At 53.8% G+C, this 15658-nt stretch overlaps 1 protein-coding gene across 7 annotated transcripts in view, besides 4 other annotated features; it reads left to right on the plus strand.

Annotated features, from left to right (window-relative positions):
- The window catches only part of ACSF3 (acyl-CoA synthetase family member 3), a 62382-nt gene that overhangs the window by 8544 nt on the left and 38180 nt on the right, over window positions 1–15658 (plus strand). For 5 of the 7 annotated variants that reach the window (NR_104293.2, NM_001243279.3, NM_001127214.4 and 2 more), the window contains 3 exons: window positions 209–364; window positions 9697–9851; window positions 11944–12092. Coding sequence is in view for 4 of the 7 variants with exons in the window: in NM_001243279.3 (NP_001230208.1) it covers window positions 209–364; window positions 9697–9851; window positions 11944–12092 (460 nt within the window). In the remaining 3 variants the exon portion in view is untranslated. Of the gene's footprint in view, window positions 1–208; window positions 365–9696; window positions 9852–11943; window positions 12093–14594; window positions 14692–15658 lie in introns of all 7 variants that reach the window. The other 2 variants (NR_147928.2, NR_147929.2) reach the window with 2 other exon arrangements.
- Window positions 2882–2931: an enhancer, noted in NCBI's record as "active region_11394". NCBI's record gives its function as "activates an Ori minimal core promoter by ATAC-STARR-seq in GM12878 lymphoblastoid cells {active_cell/tissue: GM12878}" and the evidence as "EXISTENCE:reporter gene assay evidence [ECO:0000049][PMID:35858748]".
- Window positions 11572–12771: an enhancer, noted in NCBI's record as "P300/CBP strongly-dependent group 1 enhancer chr16:89180375-89181574 (GRCh37/hg19 assembly coordinates)". NCBI's record gives its function as "activates an origin of replication core promoter dependent on BRD2, BRD4, P300/CBP, MED14 and CDK7 cofactors, with strong dependence on P300/CBP, by STARR-seq in HCT116 cells {active_cell/tissue: HCT116}" and the evidence as "EXISTENCE:reporter gene assay evidence [ECO:0000049][PMID:35650434]".
- Window positions 11971–12070: an enhancer, noted in NCBI's record as "active region_11395". NCBI's record gives its function as "activates an Ori minimal core promoter by ATAC-STARR-seq in GM12878 lymphoblastoid cells {active_cell/tissue: GM12878}" and the evidence as "EXISTENCE:reporter gene assay evidence [ECO:0000049][PMID:35858748]".
- Window positions 12166–12460: a silencer, noted in NCBI's record as "tiled region #384; HepG2 Repressive non-DNase unmatched - State 15:Elon". NCBI's record gives its function as "represses a minimal TATA promoter and a strong SV40 promoter by Sharpr-MPRA in HepG2 cells {active_cell/tissue: HepG2}" and the evidence as "EXISTENCE:reporter gene assay evidence [ECO:0000049][PMID:27701403]".

The following is a 15658-nucleotide window of genomic DNA, read 5'->3' on the forward strand; positions in this document are numbered from 1 at the left end:
CCAGGGTAAGTGAGTGACCCAGCAGATCTGCTGTGGTTTTGTCGTCATCTTGAGAGGCTGCTAAAGGGGAGCAACAAAGAGCCAGCCTTCTCCTTCCCCTTCCTCAGTGGGGAGGCCCAGAGCTCCTTTCCGTGAGCCCGAGGTCTGTGTGTGCTGTTGCGGGCCACAGTCTTGCTCTTGCTCTCAGCTGTGCTCTCGTCCCCTGCAGGTGACCGGGCTGGTCCACAAGTGGGCATGGACCAAAGACGACGTGATCCTCCACGTGCTCCCGCTGCACCACGTCCATGGTGTGGTCAACGCGCTGCTCTGTCCTCTCTGGGTGGGAGCCACCTGTGTGATGATGCCTGAGTTCAGCCCTCAGCAGGTGAGTTGGGGTCAGGGCTCTCGGTTGCACCCTCAGACTAGGCGCCTTTCCCCTGTCGGGGCCAGGGCTCTCAGCCGCGCCCTCAGCCTAAGCGCCTTTCGCTGGTTGGGGTCAGGGCTCTCGGCCGCGCCCTCAGACTAGGCATCTTTTCCTGGTGTGCAGTCGCCCCTATCCACAGGGGACGTGCCAATGCCGAGACCCTGGGTAGCATGGAACCCTGTACCTACGATGCTTTTTGCTATACATACGTACCTATGATAAAGCTTAATTTATAAGTTAGGCACAGTAAGAGGTTAACAATAACAGAACAGTTATAACCATGTACTGTAATCAAGTTATGTGAAAGTGCTCTCTCTCTTCAAAATACCTTCCGGTACTGTGCTCGTCTGTTGTGAGACTGCAGTGGGCCACGCGTCATTGAAACCGTGAATAGTGAGACTGGATGAGCGGAGGTGACTGTACAGGCCCTGCTGCCCGCGAGCTCCTGCGGCTGCGGCGAATGCTCACGCGCTTGGTTTAAAATAATGCGAGTTTGTTCTTACATGCTTGGAGGCCAGGATTCTGAGACGAGTCTTGCGGAGCTGATGCTGGGTGTGGTAGGGCTGCTCCGTCAGGAGGCTCCAGGGCAAAGTCCGTTCCTGCCTCTTGCAGCTCTGGAGGCCGCCTGTGCCCTTGGCTCCAGCTGCTTCACGTCCAGCTCTGCTTCTGCAGGCACACGGCCTTCTCTCCGTAGTCAGGGCTCCCTCGGCTTCCCTTTGTGCAGCCTATGCGGATATTCCAAGATCATCTCCCATCTTGAGGTCCTTCGCTTCATCCACCTGCAGTTCCCACCACTGCGAGAGGTGACACATTCGGGGTGTAGGGCGTAGGGCGTGACCCTTTGAGCTATGATGTGGCCACTGTGGCAGCCCTCGGTTACTCCAGAGTACTGGCCCAGCTGGAGAGCTGCTTGCTGCGGAGGGTTACTTTGGAGTATTGGCCCAGCTGAAGGGCTGCTGTGGAGTCTCTGTCTCCCCTCTCTGCATGGCTTCCTCTGTAGCGTCTCCCTTGGAGCAGGCAGGGAGGGAAGGACGCGGTGCTGGTCACACAGAGCGCTGGGGTGGGAGCAGTCATCGCCGAGCTGCTGCGCGCAGCCTTGCCTGTGCAGGGCTGTCTCCAGGCAGATCAGGGATGCTGCTTTGGAGGGAAAGGACCTGGGCTCGAGGCGGGACCCTGTGCACAGCATCGGGCCTCGCCTGTCAGTTGGGGATGGCGGTGGCTTTTAGGAGTTGCTGTGGCCCTGTGTGCATTCTAGCTGACTGCAGGCAAGAGTCACTCACCAGGCTGCAGAGGGCATGAGGGGCAGGCCTTGAGCCCACAGGAAGGACACGGTGTGCGTATGTCACAGGTGTGGTGAAGCAGAGCCCTCCGGTGAGGCCATGGACGTTTACCAGCCTCTGCCCGTATAATGAATATGCCTTTTATTCACAGGAAAAAAAGTTTAACACGTGAATGTATGGAAAAGCCCTTAGAATTTGGATCGTATCATGATGGTTCTCAGCACAGAGGAGCCCATCTCTGAGGCCAGATGCCTGGGACTGGGCTCTTGGTCTGTGCGGGGTTGTTCTGCAGGGCAGACGTCCCGGCCAGCAGAGGCACAGCCCTAAAGCCCAGAGCACAGCAGCCACCAGTGGCCGGCCCCACACTCACCGCTCTTGCCAGGACTCTTCCTGTCTGAAGTCTTTCTGGCCCCATCGAAGGCTGTGTGGAGCTCTGAGGCCTCTGACCGGGAGCTCAGGACCCAAACCCTAGTCAGGTGTGAATTTCGCCAGGAAGGGGTCCCTGCAAGCAGTCAGCCCTGCCCACCTTCCCTCTGCTTCTCCTGCCGCTGAGAGGCCCATCCTCTTCTCTGCAGGGCATCCAGCCCCACACGGTGGCTGGAGGTGGAGAGAAGGCAGCTTTTCTGGCCCTCCACCTCTCTGACCTTCAGTCTCATCCCCGGAAAATAAGGTTGGAGGCCGGCTCACAGTGGGCACAAACTTGGAAAAGAGAAGGGGCTCTTCTCTAGCCTCCACTGGAGGCAAGGTCTCACAAGAGAAGCCAGTATGTAGAACAGCTTTGTACGAGCAAGTGAGCCTGTTTCTTCACAGATGATAACATTGGGCTTTAGAGAAAGACCTCTTTAAAATCTAGCAGTTACTACCGTGCCAAAGAGAGGTGGCTGCCAGCACACTTGCGTGATTAGCCGTCAGCTCCCTCCACTGCTCTTCAGGACGCCTGTAGCCACAGAGCCTCCCTGAGGGCCCCGTCGCCAGGGTCACCTCCTGAAGAGCCTCCCTGAGGGCCCCGTCGCCAGGGTCACCCCCTGAAGAGCCTCCCTGAGGGCCCCGTCTCCCTAACACATTCCACATTCTTGTTGGCTTCAGTCCTTATTTTTCACAGACATCTCAGCCCTGACCCCAGCTGCGACACAGCAGTCTGTTAAGATGGCAGACACTGCGGCTGCCTCATCTGCGTGGTCCATCCCGGAGACATCTGCCTGGCGCTCTGCTCCAGGCCTTCCTGGCTCCCCTGGTAGGGATCTGGCTCAGTGACCCGACCCTCCTTGCGGCTCTCTCTGGGGTGCGCCCTGCATGGACACAGCTGTCCTTGGTGAACGTCTGCTGAGTCAAAGTGGTTTTGCTGCAGTGAGTTCCCCGTGAGTGCACTGTGTGGGTGGTGCAGCGCCTGGTGTGTAGGGAACTTCCATGCCTTTGCTGTGTCTCTGGGGGCTCCTCTGACGGGGCAGCTCCCTCCTCTCCGCCTTAAGCTCCTCCTTTCCTTTGGCGGTCAGCTCTGTCCAGGGTGTCAGTTTCTGTGCCTGTGACTGGGCCCCCTCAACCTGCCCCACCTTGGCCTCTGCTCCTTGGCAGCCTGGCCCTGAACCTCTGTTGGGGGCTGCCCGGGCGCTGACGGTGGCTGGTCTACCATGGTCACTTGGGCAGAGGCAGCAACGGCCATTGTCGTGGACCGTGCCAGGGCGAGATGCAGCTGGCAGGGGCAGAGGCAGAACATCTCCCAGGGAGCTGAGGGCAGGTTGGTTCCATCGTCCCGGAGGGCAGGTTGGTTCCATCCTCCCAAGTAAAGAGTGTGTTACCCTCAGGGCGAGAGGCAGGTGGGTGTGGGTGCTGGCGCAGGCCAGCTGTCAAGGATCTGGGCTTTCTGGTCTTGCTGCTTCTCCAGCACTGCATGAATGACACCACCTGGCCCTTTCCAGTGCCCACAGGCACACGGCTTGGGAGCTGCTGCTGCGGCGTCTCTGCCCAGGGGCATCTGCCAGGGGGTCCCTGCCTTGGGGTCTGTGTCCCAAGGGCGTCTGCCCAGGGATTTCTGCTCCGAGAGTGTCTACCCTGGGGTCTCTGCCTGGGGATCTGCTGTCATCTTCCAGACACTGCAGACTGGCTCATTAATGGACACGGGAAAGCCTCAGACCTTCAACGGACACGGGAAAGCCTCAGACCTTCACCGTTTTTGACACTTACTTGGGATTTTTCTTTAAACTATGCTGTGAAAACTTAATTTTTTTTTTTTTTGAGATGGAGTCTCGCACTGTTAGCCGGGCTGGAGTGCAGTGGCACGATCTCGGCTCACTGCAACCTCCGCCTCCTGGGTTCAAGCGATTCTCCTGCCTCAGCCTCCTGAGTAGCTGGGATTACAGGCACCTGCCACCACAGCCAGCTAATTTTTTGTATTTTTAGTAGAGACGGGGTTTCACTATGTTGGCCAGGCTGGTCTAGAACTCCGGACCTCATGATCCACCTGCCTCAGCCTCCCAAAGTGCTGGGATTACAGACGTAAGCCACTATGCCCAGCTGAAAACTTAATATTTAAACAAATTTGATGCTGTGGCTACAAAGGATTGCAACTCTTTTCCATAAACTCCAAGTTTCAGGGTTTTCCAACTTTAGGAATTTCTATGTGTAAAATCCAGCTGTCAGCGTTATTGAACTTTGGGATTTTGTCTAAGATTGTGTGGAAGAATGTGTAGGATACAAGTGTGGGGTGACCAGACACCTGCGGTGGTGCTGAACGATCTCAGACGCGGTGTCTTCAAGTCATCCTGCACAGAGGGCCGTGGGTGTCAGTGCCTGCAGGTGACGGATGGGGTTGGGGGAGAGGAGGAGGATGCCGGAAGATGGATGTGCAGCCACAGCCTCTGGAGATCAAAGTCACCACTGACGAGACAGCCAGAGGCTCAGATCAGTCACTCGTCTCCAACAGCACTGCCCTGGCCGACTTCCTCAGGATCGCAGCATGGACTCAGGAGGGCTGCCATCTGGCAGGGTCTGTGCTGTGGCAGCTCAGGTTAGAGCAACAGGCCTGCTCCTGCCACCTCAGAAGCACTTGCTAGTTAGTCAAATGTTATGGCGCCCTTCAGGGGGCCTCCAGGTCTTTCACGTCTTGGAAGTGTGGCAACACATTGGGATGTGCTGGAGGAAGAAGGTCACCCTCGGCTCTCAGTGCCCTTCTTTAGGGCAGCAGCTGCCCTCTGAAGATTTGGATGAATTCCAAGAAAGACCGTCCTTCGTGTCTTTCACCTCCGCGCCTGCTCCCTGCCCCTCAGCCTTGTCCCGTTGCGTGCATGCTGTCCCCGCCTCAGCACCATCCTGCTACACGCATGCTCTCCCCACCTCGGCACCATCCTGCTACACGCGTGCTCTCCCCGCCTCGGCACCATCCTGCTACACGCGTGCTCCGTTTTCCGTGCCTCAGTGTCACGTTTGTGTTTCTGGTTCACTGTGCTGTTGATCTGTGTGTTACATCAAATGCAGTTTGTTCTTTTTACGTTGCTGTGTTGTATTTCCTGGTGTGCAGAAGCCACAGTGCGCTTATCCATTCTGCTCTTGAAGGACTTGAGATTGTTTTCAGTTTGTGGCTATTAGAAGTCACGGTTGCTATGAACATTCTCACACAGATGTCCCTGTGGACAGTTCCCTTGGATCCGCAACTCCCAGTGCCGGCTCACAGGCTAGATGTATGTTTCATTTCAGTGGAAACTGCGGAAGAGTTCTCAAACGTGGCTGCATGTTTCACACACCCCAGCCCCAAATGTGGCTGCATGTTTCATACGCCCCCAGCCCCATTCTGCTGGTACCAATTTACTGTATTAGTCCGTGTGCACACTACTGATAAAGACATACCCAAGACAGGGAAGAAAAAGAGGTTTAATTGGACTCGCAGTTCCACATGGCTGGGGAGGCCTCAGAATCATGGTGGGAGGCAAAAGGCACTTCTTACATGGCGGTGGCAAGAGAAAATGAGGAAGAAGCAAAAGCGGAAACCCTTGATAAACCCATCAGATCTCATGAGACTTATTCACTATCATGAGAATAGCACAGGAAAGACCGGCCCCCATAATTCAATTACCTCCCCCTGGGCACCTCCCACAACACGTGGGAATTCTGGGAGATACAGTTCAAGTTGAGATTTGGGTGGGGATGCCATCAAACCATATCAGGAGTCCTTAAATTTGTTAAATTCCCCACATGTCTCCTCTTCTGGTGCCTTCATTTGTCCCTACAGAGGTTCTCCGCGAAGCACTGTGCTTCCCCCAACTTGTTTCCCTTCAGCCTGGAGAACTTCTTTTCAATAGTTCTTGTAGTGCAGCTTTGCTGACAACAAATCCCTCAATTTTGTTTCACTGAAAATGTTTTTATTGCACCTTCCCTTTTCAAAAACAGCTCTATCGAGATACAGTTCACACACCGCAAAATTCATTATTGTAAATTTTGAATTAAGTAGCCATTACCTCAAACCAGTGTCCATTTCCCCCCATTCCCAGCCCCTGGCAACCACGAATCTGCTTTCTGCCTCTAGGATTTCCTTGTTTGAGATGGCAGCGTGTGCAAATGGGGCGTGTCACACTCAGTCTTTTATTCCAGCTTCTTTCACTTGCAGGATGGTTCTGAGTTTCATCCATGTTCTACTGTGTGTATTAATAACTTGTTCCTGAATAGTACTTCATCATATGGATATACCACATTTTCCTCATCCATTCACCATCTGATGGGCATTTGGACTGTTTCAGTTTGGAGCTATTATGAATAATGCTGCTATGAACATTTACATATAAATCTCTGTAGACATTCATTCATCTTACATAGACACAGAGGGATAGAATTGATGGGTTGTATGGTGACTTTCTGTTTAATGTTTTAAGAAACTGTCAAACTGGCCGGGCACGGTGGCTCACACCTGAAATCCTAGCACTTTGGGAGGCCGAGGCAGGTGGATCACTTGAGGTCAGGAGTTTGAGACCAGCCTGACCAACAGGGTGAAACCCTGTCTATACTAAAAATACAAAATTAGCCAGGCACCGTGGTTCACACCTGTAATCCCAGCTACTCGGGAGGCTGAGGTAGGAGAATTGCTTGAACCCAGGGGGCGGCGATTGCAGTGAGCCAAGATCACACCACTGCACTCCAGCCTGGGCAACAGAGCAAGACTGTCTCAAAAAAAAAAAAAAAAAAAAAGAAAAGAAAAGAAACTGGCAAACTGTTTTCCAAAATGGCTGTGTTGCTGTACGTTCTCATCAGCAGCGTATGAGAGTTTTCATTTCTTTACGTCCTGCCAACACTTGTCACTGGCTTCAGTTTGCGTTTCCCTAATGACTACTGATGTTAAGCTTTTTTTTTTTTTTTTTTTTTTTTTTGAGATGGAGTCTCACTCTGTCGCTCAGGCTGGAGTGCAGTGGCTCAGTCTCGGCTCACTGCAATCTCCGCCTCCTGGGTTCAAGCGCTTCTCCTGCCTCAGCCATCTCAGCAGCTGGGATTACAGGCGCACAGCTCCAGGTCCAGCTAATTTTTTGTATTTTTATAGAGACCAGGTTTCACCGTGTTGGCCAGGCTGGTCTTGAACTCCTGACCTCAAGTAACCTGCCTGCCTCAGCCTCCCAAAATGCTGTGATTATAGCCGTGAGCCCGCCGCACCCGGCCAGATGTTGAGCATTTTTTGTGTTTATTTTTACTTTTTTCCTTTTAAATTATTTTTGCAGAAACAGAGCCTCCCTATGTTGCCCAGGCTGGCCTCACACTCCTGAGCTCAAGGGATCCTCCCGCCTCAGCCTCCCAAAGTGCCGGGATTACGGGCATGAGCACTGCACCCAGTGCTGTTTTTTACGTTCTTGTTTGCATCCGTATGTAATCTTTGGTGAACTGTCTAATGAAATCTTTGGCCATTTTTAAATTGGGCTGTTTGTCTTCTTACTGAGTTGTAAGAGTTCTATGTGTATTCCGGATACGAGTCTCTTTTCAGATGTACGGTTTACAAATATTTCCTCCAACTGCAGCTTGTCTTTTTATTTTCTTAATGTGTCTTTTGGAGCACACATTAATTTTGATGAAATTCATTTTATAAAAAAAATTTTAAAAATAAATTCATTTTATCAATTTTTAAACTTTATAGATTGTGCTTTTGGTATCTCATCTGAGAAGTCTTTGCCAAACCACAGGTCATGTCATGAAGATATTCCCTTTTGTTTTTTCTTAGAAGTTTTCTAGTTTTAGCTCATACGTGGAGGTTTCTGACCCACTTTGGGTTAATTTTGCATATGGTGTGAGGTAGGGTCTAGGAGTCACCTTCTGCATGGAGATATTCAGTGTGTCAGTGCCATTTGTGAGAAAGATTATCCTTTTGTCCTTTTCCCTATTGGGGACTTGGTTTCTTTGCCAAGAATCACTTGACCAGATATCTGTGCATTCGTTTATTTCTGGACTCTCCATTGTGTTTTGTGGGTCTCTTGTCTAATCTTACACAGCATCACACTGTGTTCGTTACTTCTGGTTTACGTCAGTTTTGGAGTTGGGAACTGTGTGTTCTCACCTTTAATCTGCCTTTTGAAATTTATTTTGGATCTTCTGGGTCCTTTGCCTTTTCGTGTAAAACGTAGGATAAGTGTATCAATTTCTGCAAAATAAAGCTTGCCGGAATTTTGGGAAGATTGCTTTGAAGCTGGAGCTCAGTGTGGGAAGAACTGCCATCTTCACAACATGGAGTGTTCCCGTCTGCGAGCCTGGCCTCTCTCCACCCGCTTATCTGTTCCCCTCCCTCCCTCGATGGCAGTGTTGTGGGTGCTGCTCCGCGGTGCTGCTGTCTCCCGCACTCTGGTCGCCTGTGTCTTTGCTTTCCCGTCTGTGGGTCAGCCTAGATCACCCCCGTTGACTGTGTCTGACTTTTTTCCTCTTTTCTGCTGCGTCTTGTTTGTTATTAGGTCTATTGAATGAATTCATTTTGGATCTTGTGTTTTTCAGTTTTATGATTTTTTGCAGTTCCACTTCTCTTTGCAATTCTCCATCTTCCCCACGTTGTTCATCTTTTCTTTGAAATTCCTTAATCTGCTTATTGCAGTGATTTGAAGGGCCTTGTCTGGTGATTCGGACGTTTGGATTTCCTGAGACTTCTTCCCTTCAGTTGGGGATCACATCTTTGTGTCCTTACATGCTTTGTGACTTTGAAGGGTTCCAGTCTTTGTCTTTGAAAGAATGATATTATTTCTTCCCCGGAGATTCCTGCCTTTCTCTGCCAGGCAGCTGCGGTGAGGCACTCGTCACTGCAGTCCAGTGAGGAGATGAGATGGGCTGGGGCTGGACTGTGGCATCGGCATCCGTCGACCCCAGTTTCAACGCCGTGTGGGCGAGATCTGTCCTGTGTGTCCTGGGCCTCCCTTAGGTGCTGACCCCACAGCACGAAGAGTGCCCTCCTCCCTCCGCCACACCCTTCGGTGCTCCGTGTGGAACACCGCGGGTAGAGAGGGCCATGGAAGGAATGCGGCTCACCAGCTCTTCCTGAAGCTTTATGGGCGACGCGAGAACCCGCTAACGAGTGAGGAACTTAAAACGTATTTATATGTAAGCAAGAAATGTTTATTATGGAGTAAAATATAAAATTCACATGACTCTTTTAAATAAAAGACTTCACCCGTTCGCTAGTCACTGCATGCCTGTCCATACTGGGAAGCATGCTGACTTCAGGTCTGCGGGCAGCCAGGCCCTCCTGCCAGCTTCCCCAAGGTGTACATCCGCCCTCTCTGTGTAGCTGGAAGAGCCTGACCACTCACGTCTCTCCAGGCCACAGATCCCGAAGCCCTTTTCTAGCTCTGTTCACGATTGCTCTTCCCCTCACAGGCCAGACGCAGCTGTCCCGCGCAACATGGCTTCTGTGGGAAGGGGTCAGAGTTTGAGGCACCCCTTTTAGAAGGGAGGCGCTGCAGACTCTTGAATGTGAACCATGAGAACGCTGTGCCTGGAGCCAGGAGCCTCCGCCACGGGCCCCAGTGCCTGCTCATCTTCCTACCGAGTGCTTCCTTTCCTTCGTAGGTTTGGGAAAAGTTCTTAAGTTCTGAAACGCCGCGGATCAATGTCTTTATGGCAGTGCCTACAATATACACCAAGCTGATGGAGTACTACGACAGGCATTTTACCCAGCCGCACGCCCAGGATTTCTTGCGTGCAGTTTGTGAAGAAAAAATTAGGTAAGTGAAAAGAGCCCACTTTCTCGTTCAGAAAGTCTTAAAGATCAACAGATACGACTTATTTCTAATAAATCACTCCTACTAAGTTCTGGGAAGCAGTGCTTTCCATTTCCTTTCAATGTTCCCTCTCTCTCTACCCGTCTCCGTCTCTACCTCTCTAACTGTCTCTCTCTCTCTCTACCCGTCTGTATGTATATCTGTAATCTCTTCCACGTCGATAGCTGCCTGGATTCTGTATCGCTCTCTCTGTCACACTCTGTCTCTCTATCTCTCTCTGTCTCTCTTTGTCTCTCTCTCTCCATCTCTCCATCTATCTGTCTTCTCTGTCTCTCTTGTCAGACTCTCCATCTCTGTCTTCTCTCTGTCTCTCTCCATCGCTCTTCATCTGTCTCTCCGTCTTCTCTTTCTCTATCTCTCCTGTCTCTCCATCTGTCTCTATCTCTCCATCTGTCTTTGTCTCCGTCTGTCTGTCTGCTCTCTCTCCTGTCCGTCTCTCTCTCTCTCTGTCATGGCGTCTGAAGGACAAGGGTGAGGACAGTGAGCTGACCCGCTTGCTCCTGCTTCATCTGCCCACATGTCCCACGGCGCCTGCCTCTCCTATGCAGTCTCTCTGCCTTCGTGGGCAGCCCTGTGAGGCCTCCTGCCTGGGGCACGTTCTGCTGCTTTTCCTCTCAGCCCCGCTCCTCCCCTCCCAGCTCCCTGGATAAACCCCTCCCTCCCAGGACAAGCTGGTCTTTTGGGCCACCCAGGGGCGTGTTTGCTCTGCACTCTCCCATGAACCTGCAGGCGTGGGAACGTTTCTTTTCCCTCGTGGCTGTTGAGGTGTGGTTCACTAACTGGAAACGCACACGTGTGGCTCAGTGAGTCTTCACACGCATCACAGGCCCGCACCTCCAGCAGAGTCGTGGGTGGGGTATTTTTTCTTTTTGTGAGAGGGAGGGGTGGCGTGGAGGGTGCACTGCAGGAACTGAAGGCTCCACTGCCATCCAGTTTCCAGTGGGATGTGTGTGTCTGTGGCTGCCGCGCGCTCCTCCCAGTCCCCAGGAAGTGCACAGGGAAGCGGCACCTTTGTTCCTGGAGAGAATTCCGGGTTGTCCAAGGCACATGTCTGAACCGCTTCGCTCTCTTTGCCGTTCCCTTGCCCCTTTTCTGTGAGGCCACCGGAGCCCATGGTTTTGCTGCTGCTACTGCTGGGATACCCTGGGGCTGGGCAGGCCCCAAGCTGAGCAGGGTGAGCACAACGTTTTACCAAATCTAAGGAACCAAGGGCAAGAACGAGGTCAGTGAAGGAGAGGATCAGGTGATTTCTGGGGTGACAGAGGCAATGAGACCTCGGCCATCTGGATCTCCCAGCGGGGGTCCTGTCAGTGGTGCCTCCTCGTAAAGCAGGGGCAGCAGCAGGGACCACTCCGCTCAGACCGCAAACAAAAGCGCCTTCCCTACTGCCCGTGAGGCTGCGGGAAATGCTGTGTGAGAGCGCGGGGACTCGGAGTTCTCAGGGCCCGTGTTCTCCTGCCAAGCCTGAGCTGACCCTGTGGGCCAAGATGGCTGCAGTTCTGCGGGTGGTTCTGAGCCCCTTGGGTGTGCCCGGCCCCACCCCTTGGGTGCCGCGGCCATTCACCCATGTCCGCGTTCTGCTGCAGAGCCTGCAAGCTGAGCCGGCTGTAGTCCCCGGATGTGCCTGGCCGCAGCCTGCAGCGCCGTGGCTGTTCACCCGTGATCAGCTCCGTGGTCGGCAGCTGCACGGTCACTGCTGTTCTTGAGCGTGGTTGTGAACAGCGCAGGAACTTTGCAGGGGACACCGCGGACCCTAAGCACATTGTTTACCCTCATTAGCTGTTGGACCTGCTTCCTTCTAAAATACACCCAACAGATCGTTTTCAAAAAACAAAGTCACGCCGTAGCGCAGACTGCAGCGTTGGTCCCGGGTGTCGCACAGTGGTGCTGTACCCACGGCCTGGGGCTCCTGCACTCGTGAAGGAGCTGCCACTTTTGCAAGCAAGGGCCGCCTCCTGAGGGGCTAAACCTGCCACCTTTGCACGCGAGAGCCACGTCCCAAGGGGCTAAACCTGCCTTTGGTTGTGCCGCGTAGGCTGATGGTCTCAGGCTCAGCTGCCCTGCCCCTCCCAGTGCTGGAGAAGTGGAAGAACATCACGGGCCACACCCTGCTGGAGCGGTATGGCATGACCGAGATCGGCATGGCTCTGTCCGGGCCCCTGACCACTGCCGTGCGCCTGCCAGGTACGAGCACTTCCCACAGCTGCGTTCCTCTTCCACTGTGCTCTGAGCCCCCCAAGGTGGGCCAGTCTCGAACCACCCACATTCGGACTGAAGGGCGGCATGGAGGATGCTCCCCCGTGGGACAGGCCACTCGGCCAGGAGAGCACTCAGGATGCACTGCGACCTGTCCCCTCTGGGTAGATCAGCCTTCTCCCAAGTCTCAGTCGGGTGGATGGGGGAGGTGTCTGTGCTGGCCCCTGGCTGTATGACTGGGGAGACAATGGGAAGAACAGCAATGCCTGGAATGCAGGCGTCAGTGCATGTCTCAGAGGAAGGCGGGGGGCCATGCTGTTGGCTCCAGACCACATCAGCAGTGGTGGCAGCCTCCGTCTGTCTGGAGTCCGGGTGCCACACAGCGCCAGCAGCAGTGCCAGGAGAGGTGGGTGTGGTGGGCAGGGTGGGATGAGTCAAGCACCTGTCTTCCTTCTCTAGATGTGGGCTCCTGATACCGGGCCCCTCTTGTCCAGCCTTCCCTAACACATCCCATTCTGACTTTCATCTGACCCAACCATTTGAGCCCTGGGTCCTCCGCTGGGACTTCTGGGAACAGAGCCCACAGCTGGGGGGCCACCCTGCTGCTTTCTGCGCAGCCCTTCCAGTCTGTCTAGAGTAGAAGAGAGATCTCAGTGCAGACTTAAAGTGAGACCATCCCGCACATCTGTCTGTGCAGCTGCTTACCTGCAGACCCAGTAAAAATTCACCCCTCTGGCGTGCAGCTCTGTGTGTCTTAAGAAACATCATCACAGTCAAAATAGAGAAGGGTTCCTCGCCTCAGAAACTCCCTTCCTAGTGCTCAGCACCTCCTCCACCCCCGAGGCCTGGCCCCTTGTTCCTGTTTCTCTTCTTGTGGTTTTGCTTTTTCTGGGAGGCCACGTGGCTAAATCCTGCAGGACGTGGCCTCTGAGCCTGTCTGCTTCCGCCCGGCTTCCGCCCACAGTCAACTGCCTGTGCTGTGTGCGTCAGAGCCCGCGCCTTTCCCTGCTGAGTGGCATCCGTGGTGTGGGTGCGGCACCGCTTGTGACCCTGTTTTAAGCAATGACACGTGAGATGTTATCAACATTTGTGTGCAGGTTTCTGTGCGAACGTGGTTTTTTATTTCACCTGGGCAGATACCTAGGAGAGAGATTGCTGTGTTGTCTGAAGCTTTCAAGCTGTTCTCCAGAGCGGCTACACCATCCCCTTCCCCCTGCAATGGGTGGGAGGTCACGAGCACCTGCTGCTCCAGCGGGCGGTGGTGGTGTCTCGTTGAGTTCATGATTCTCTCATGATGGGTGGCGTTGAGCACCTCTTCCTGTTCGTGTCATTCCGTTTTCAACTGGGGCCTTTGTTTTCTTGAGTTTTGAGAGCTTTTAAAATTCGGGACCCAAGTGTCAGCTGTGCGATTTTAAATATCATCTCCCAGCTTGTGGTTTGTCTTCCCATTCACCTAACAGCGTCTTTAAAATCAGGAGTTTTAGGTTTTGGCCCGGTTTATCAATTTGTTTTGTGAATTGTCTGATGTCATATCTAATAAATCCTTGCGTAGCCCAAAGTCACAGAGAATAGTTTCAGCTCTTACGTTTGGGACCATGATCCATTTTGAGTTAATGTTTGTACATAGTGCGAGATACGGACCACAGTTCTTTTTTAGTGTGTGAATGTCTAACTTTTTAGCACTGTTCGTTGAAAAGACTCCCTTCTCCATCGAACAGCCCTTTGGATCTTTGTTGAAAGTCCGTCGACTCCTGAGGGGTCGGCTCCTGGGCTCTGCTCTGTCCCATTGCTTTCCGTGTGCCCTTTGGCTCATTCCATGCCTGCTTGGTTCCTGGGACTCTAGGGTAAGCGTGGACATGGGGGTTCAGGCCCAGGCAGGGACCAGCTGGTGCCAGGCAGCGATACGGTGCTGGGGCCTGCAAGGTGAGTGTGAGGGCTGGCTGGCTGCTGGGCTGGGAGGAGGAGAGACTGTAGGCTCACGCCCCTTTGCTGGGCCTGGGGAGCCATGGGGGCTGTTAAGTGTATTCTGAGTGTAAAGTCTCGGTTTGGCTGGGGCATCCTGAGCAGAATGACAGGGCCATGGCAGCGAGATCCTCAGCTGCCGTGCAGAGCTGCCAGTGGGGTGGCCGCACAGAGTGCAGTGCCTGCTGCAACAGTGCCCAGGGCAGTGGGCGGGTGGGGGCATGTTGTGAAAAGAAGTCAGTGTGAGTGATGAGAAATACATCCTAGTCTCAGACCCCAGGAAACCGCCGTCAGTGCTGGTGGCCCCTGCCCTGGGCCGGCTCCCGCGTTAGTCTCAGACCCCAGGAAACCTCCACCTCCGTCAGTGCTAGCGGCCCCTGCTCTGGGCTGACTCGCGCATCTCCACGATGGCTGCGGCACCAGCTGTTTCTTCGGTGGCTAAAGCTCTCTGGTGGAAATAAGATGGGGACCTTGAAATCAAATGTGACTGGTCTGTTGAGTCTCTGTCCTTATCGTTGTCCTTCTTAGTAGGATGTGCTGGTTTTGTCCAGTGCCACCGGCCACAGTCACCACGTAATATGGACGGAATGAGCAAAGCCCGGCTCGCTGAGGCTGCAGGCTGCAGGCAAGTGAGGACTGAAAGGGTAACGGGCTCTGGGCTTTGTCCTCTCTTTGTTCCGGACATGTGAGCAGGACAAGTTCTGTGTATTCAGAATCTGTCTGCACAGTTTGTAGTTCATGATGACTGTTCATCCACAGCATTGCTTTGTGGGCGTCCTCTCTTTTGATCTTCTCGAAACAGCCCCTGCGATGGGGTCATATTTTGCACTCACATACAAGAACCCATGAGCCTGCCCACGGTCACGCGGCTGGTGAGTGATGCACTTCCCAGGAGCACGGTGACCTCTTCAATGGCCCTCACTAGAGAAGATGGACAGTGCCCCCCTAGCCTTTTTTACTGGAACAGATACAAGGCTGAGAAGCTGAAATCAGGAGCAGCCCAGGGACCACTGTCTACACCGAGGGAGTCATGAGCAGCCCAGGGACCACTGTCTACACCCAGGGAGTCAGGAGCAGCCCGGGGACTGCTGTCTACACCGAGGATGTCAGGAGCAGCCCAGGGACCACTGTCTACACTGAGAGCGTCAGGAGCAGCCCAGGGACCGCCGTCCACACCAAGAGCGCCAAGGAGCAGCCCAGGGACCGCCGTCCACACCGAGGGCGCCAAGGAGCAGATAGTAGCCCAGAGACCCAGGGGAGGCTCAGCTTCCCCACGCTGGAATCAGAACTCCTAGGCGAACAGGAAGGAGCCCCAGACAGATGGCACAGGGAGAGGAGTCCCCGGCTGAGGAGGGGGATCCAGAGACCCTGAAGCTTCAGGGTTATTGGGCAAGAAACCTGAGTGCACCAATCCCCGAGTCTTCAGCTACCGACGGCAGGTTCCCTCGGGTGCCGGGGATGCTCCCTCTTCTCTAAGGCAGAGCCCACAGTAGGTTCCCTCAGGCGCCAAGGACATTCCCTCTTCTCTAAGGCAGAGCCCACAGCAGGTTCCCTCAGGCGCCAGGGACGTTCCCTCTTCTCTAAGGCAGAGC

This window comes from Homo sapiens, chromosome 16 (genome assembly GCF_000001405.40).
Source record: "Homo sapiens chromosome 16, GRCh38.p14 Primary Assembly".
NCBI classification, from domain to species: Eukaryota; Metazoa; Chordata; class Mammalia; order Primates; family Hominidae; genus Homo; species Homo sapiens.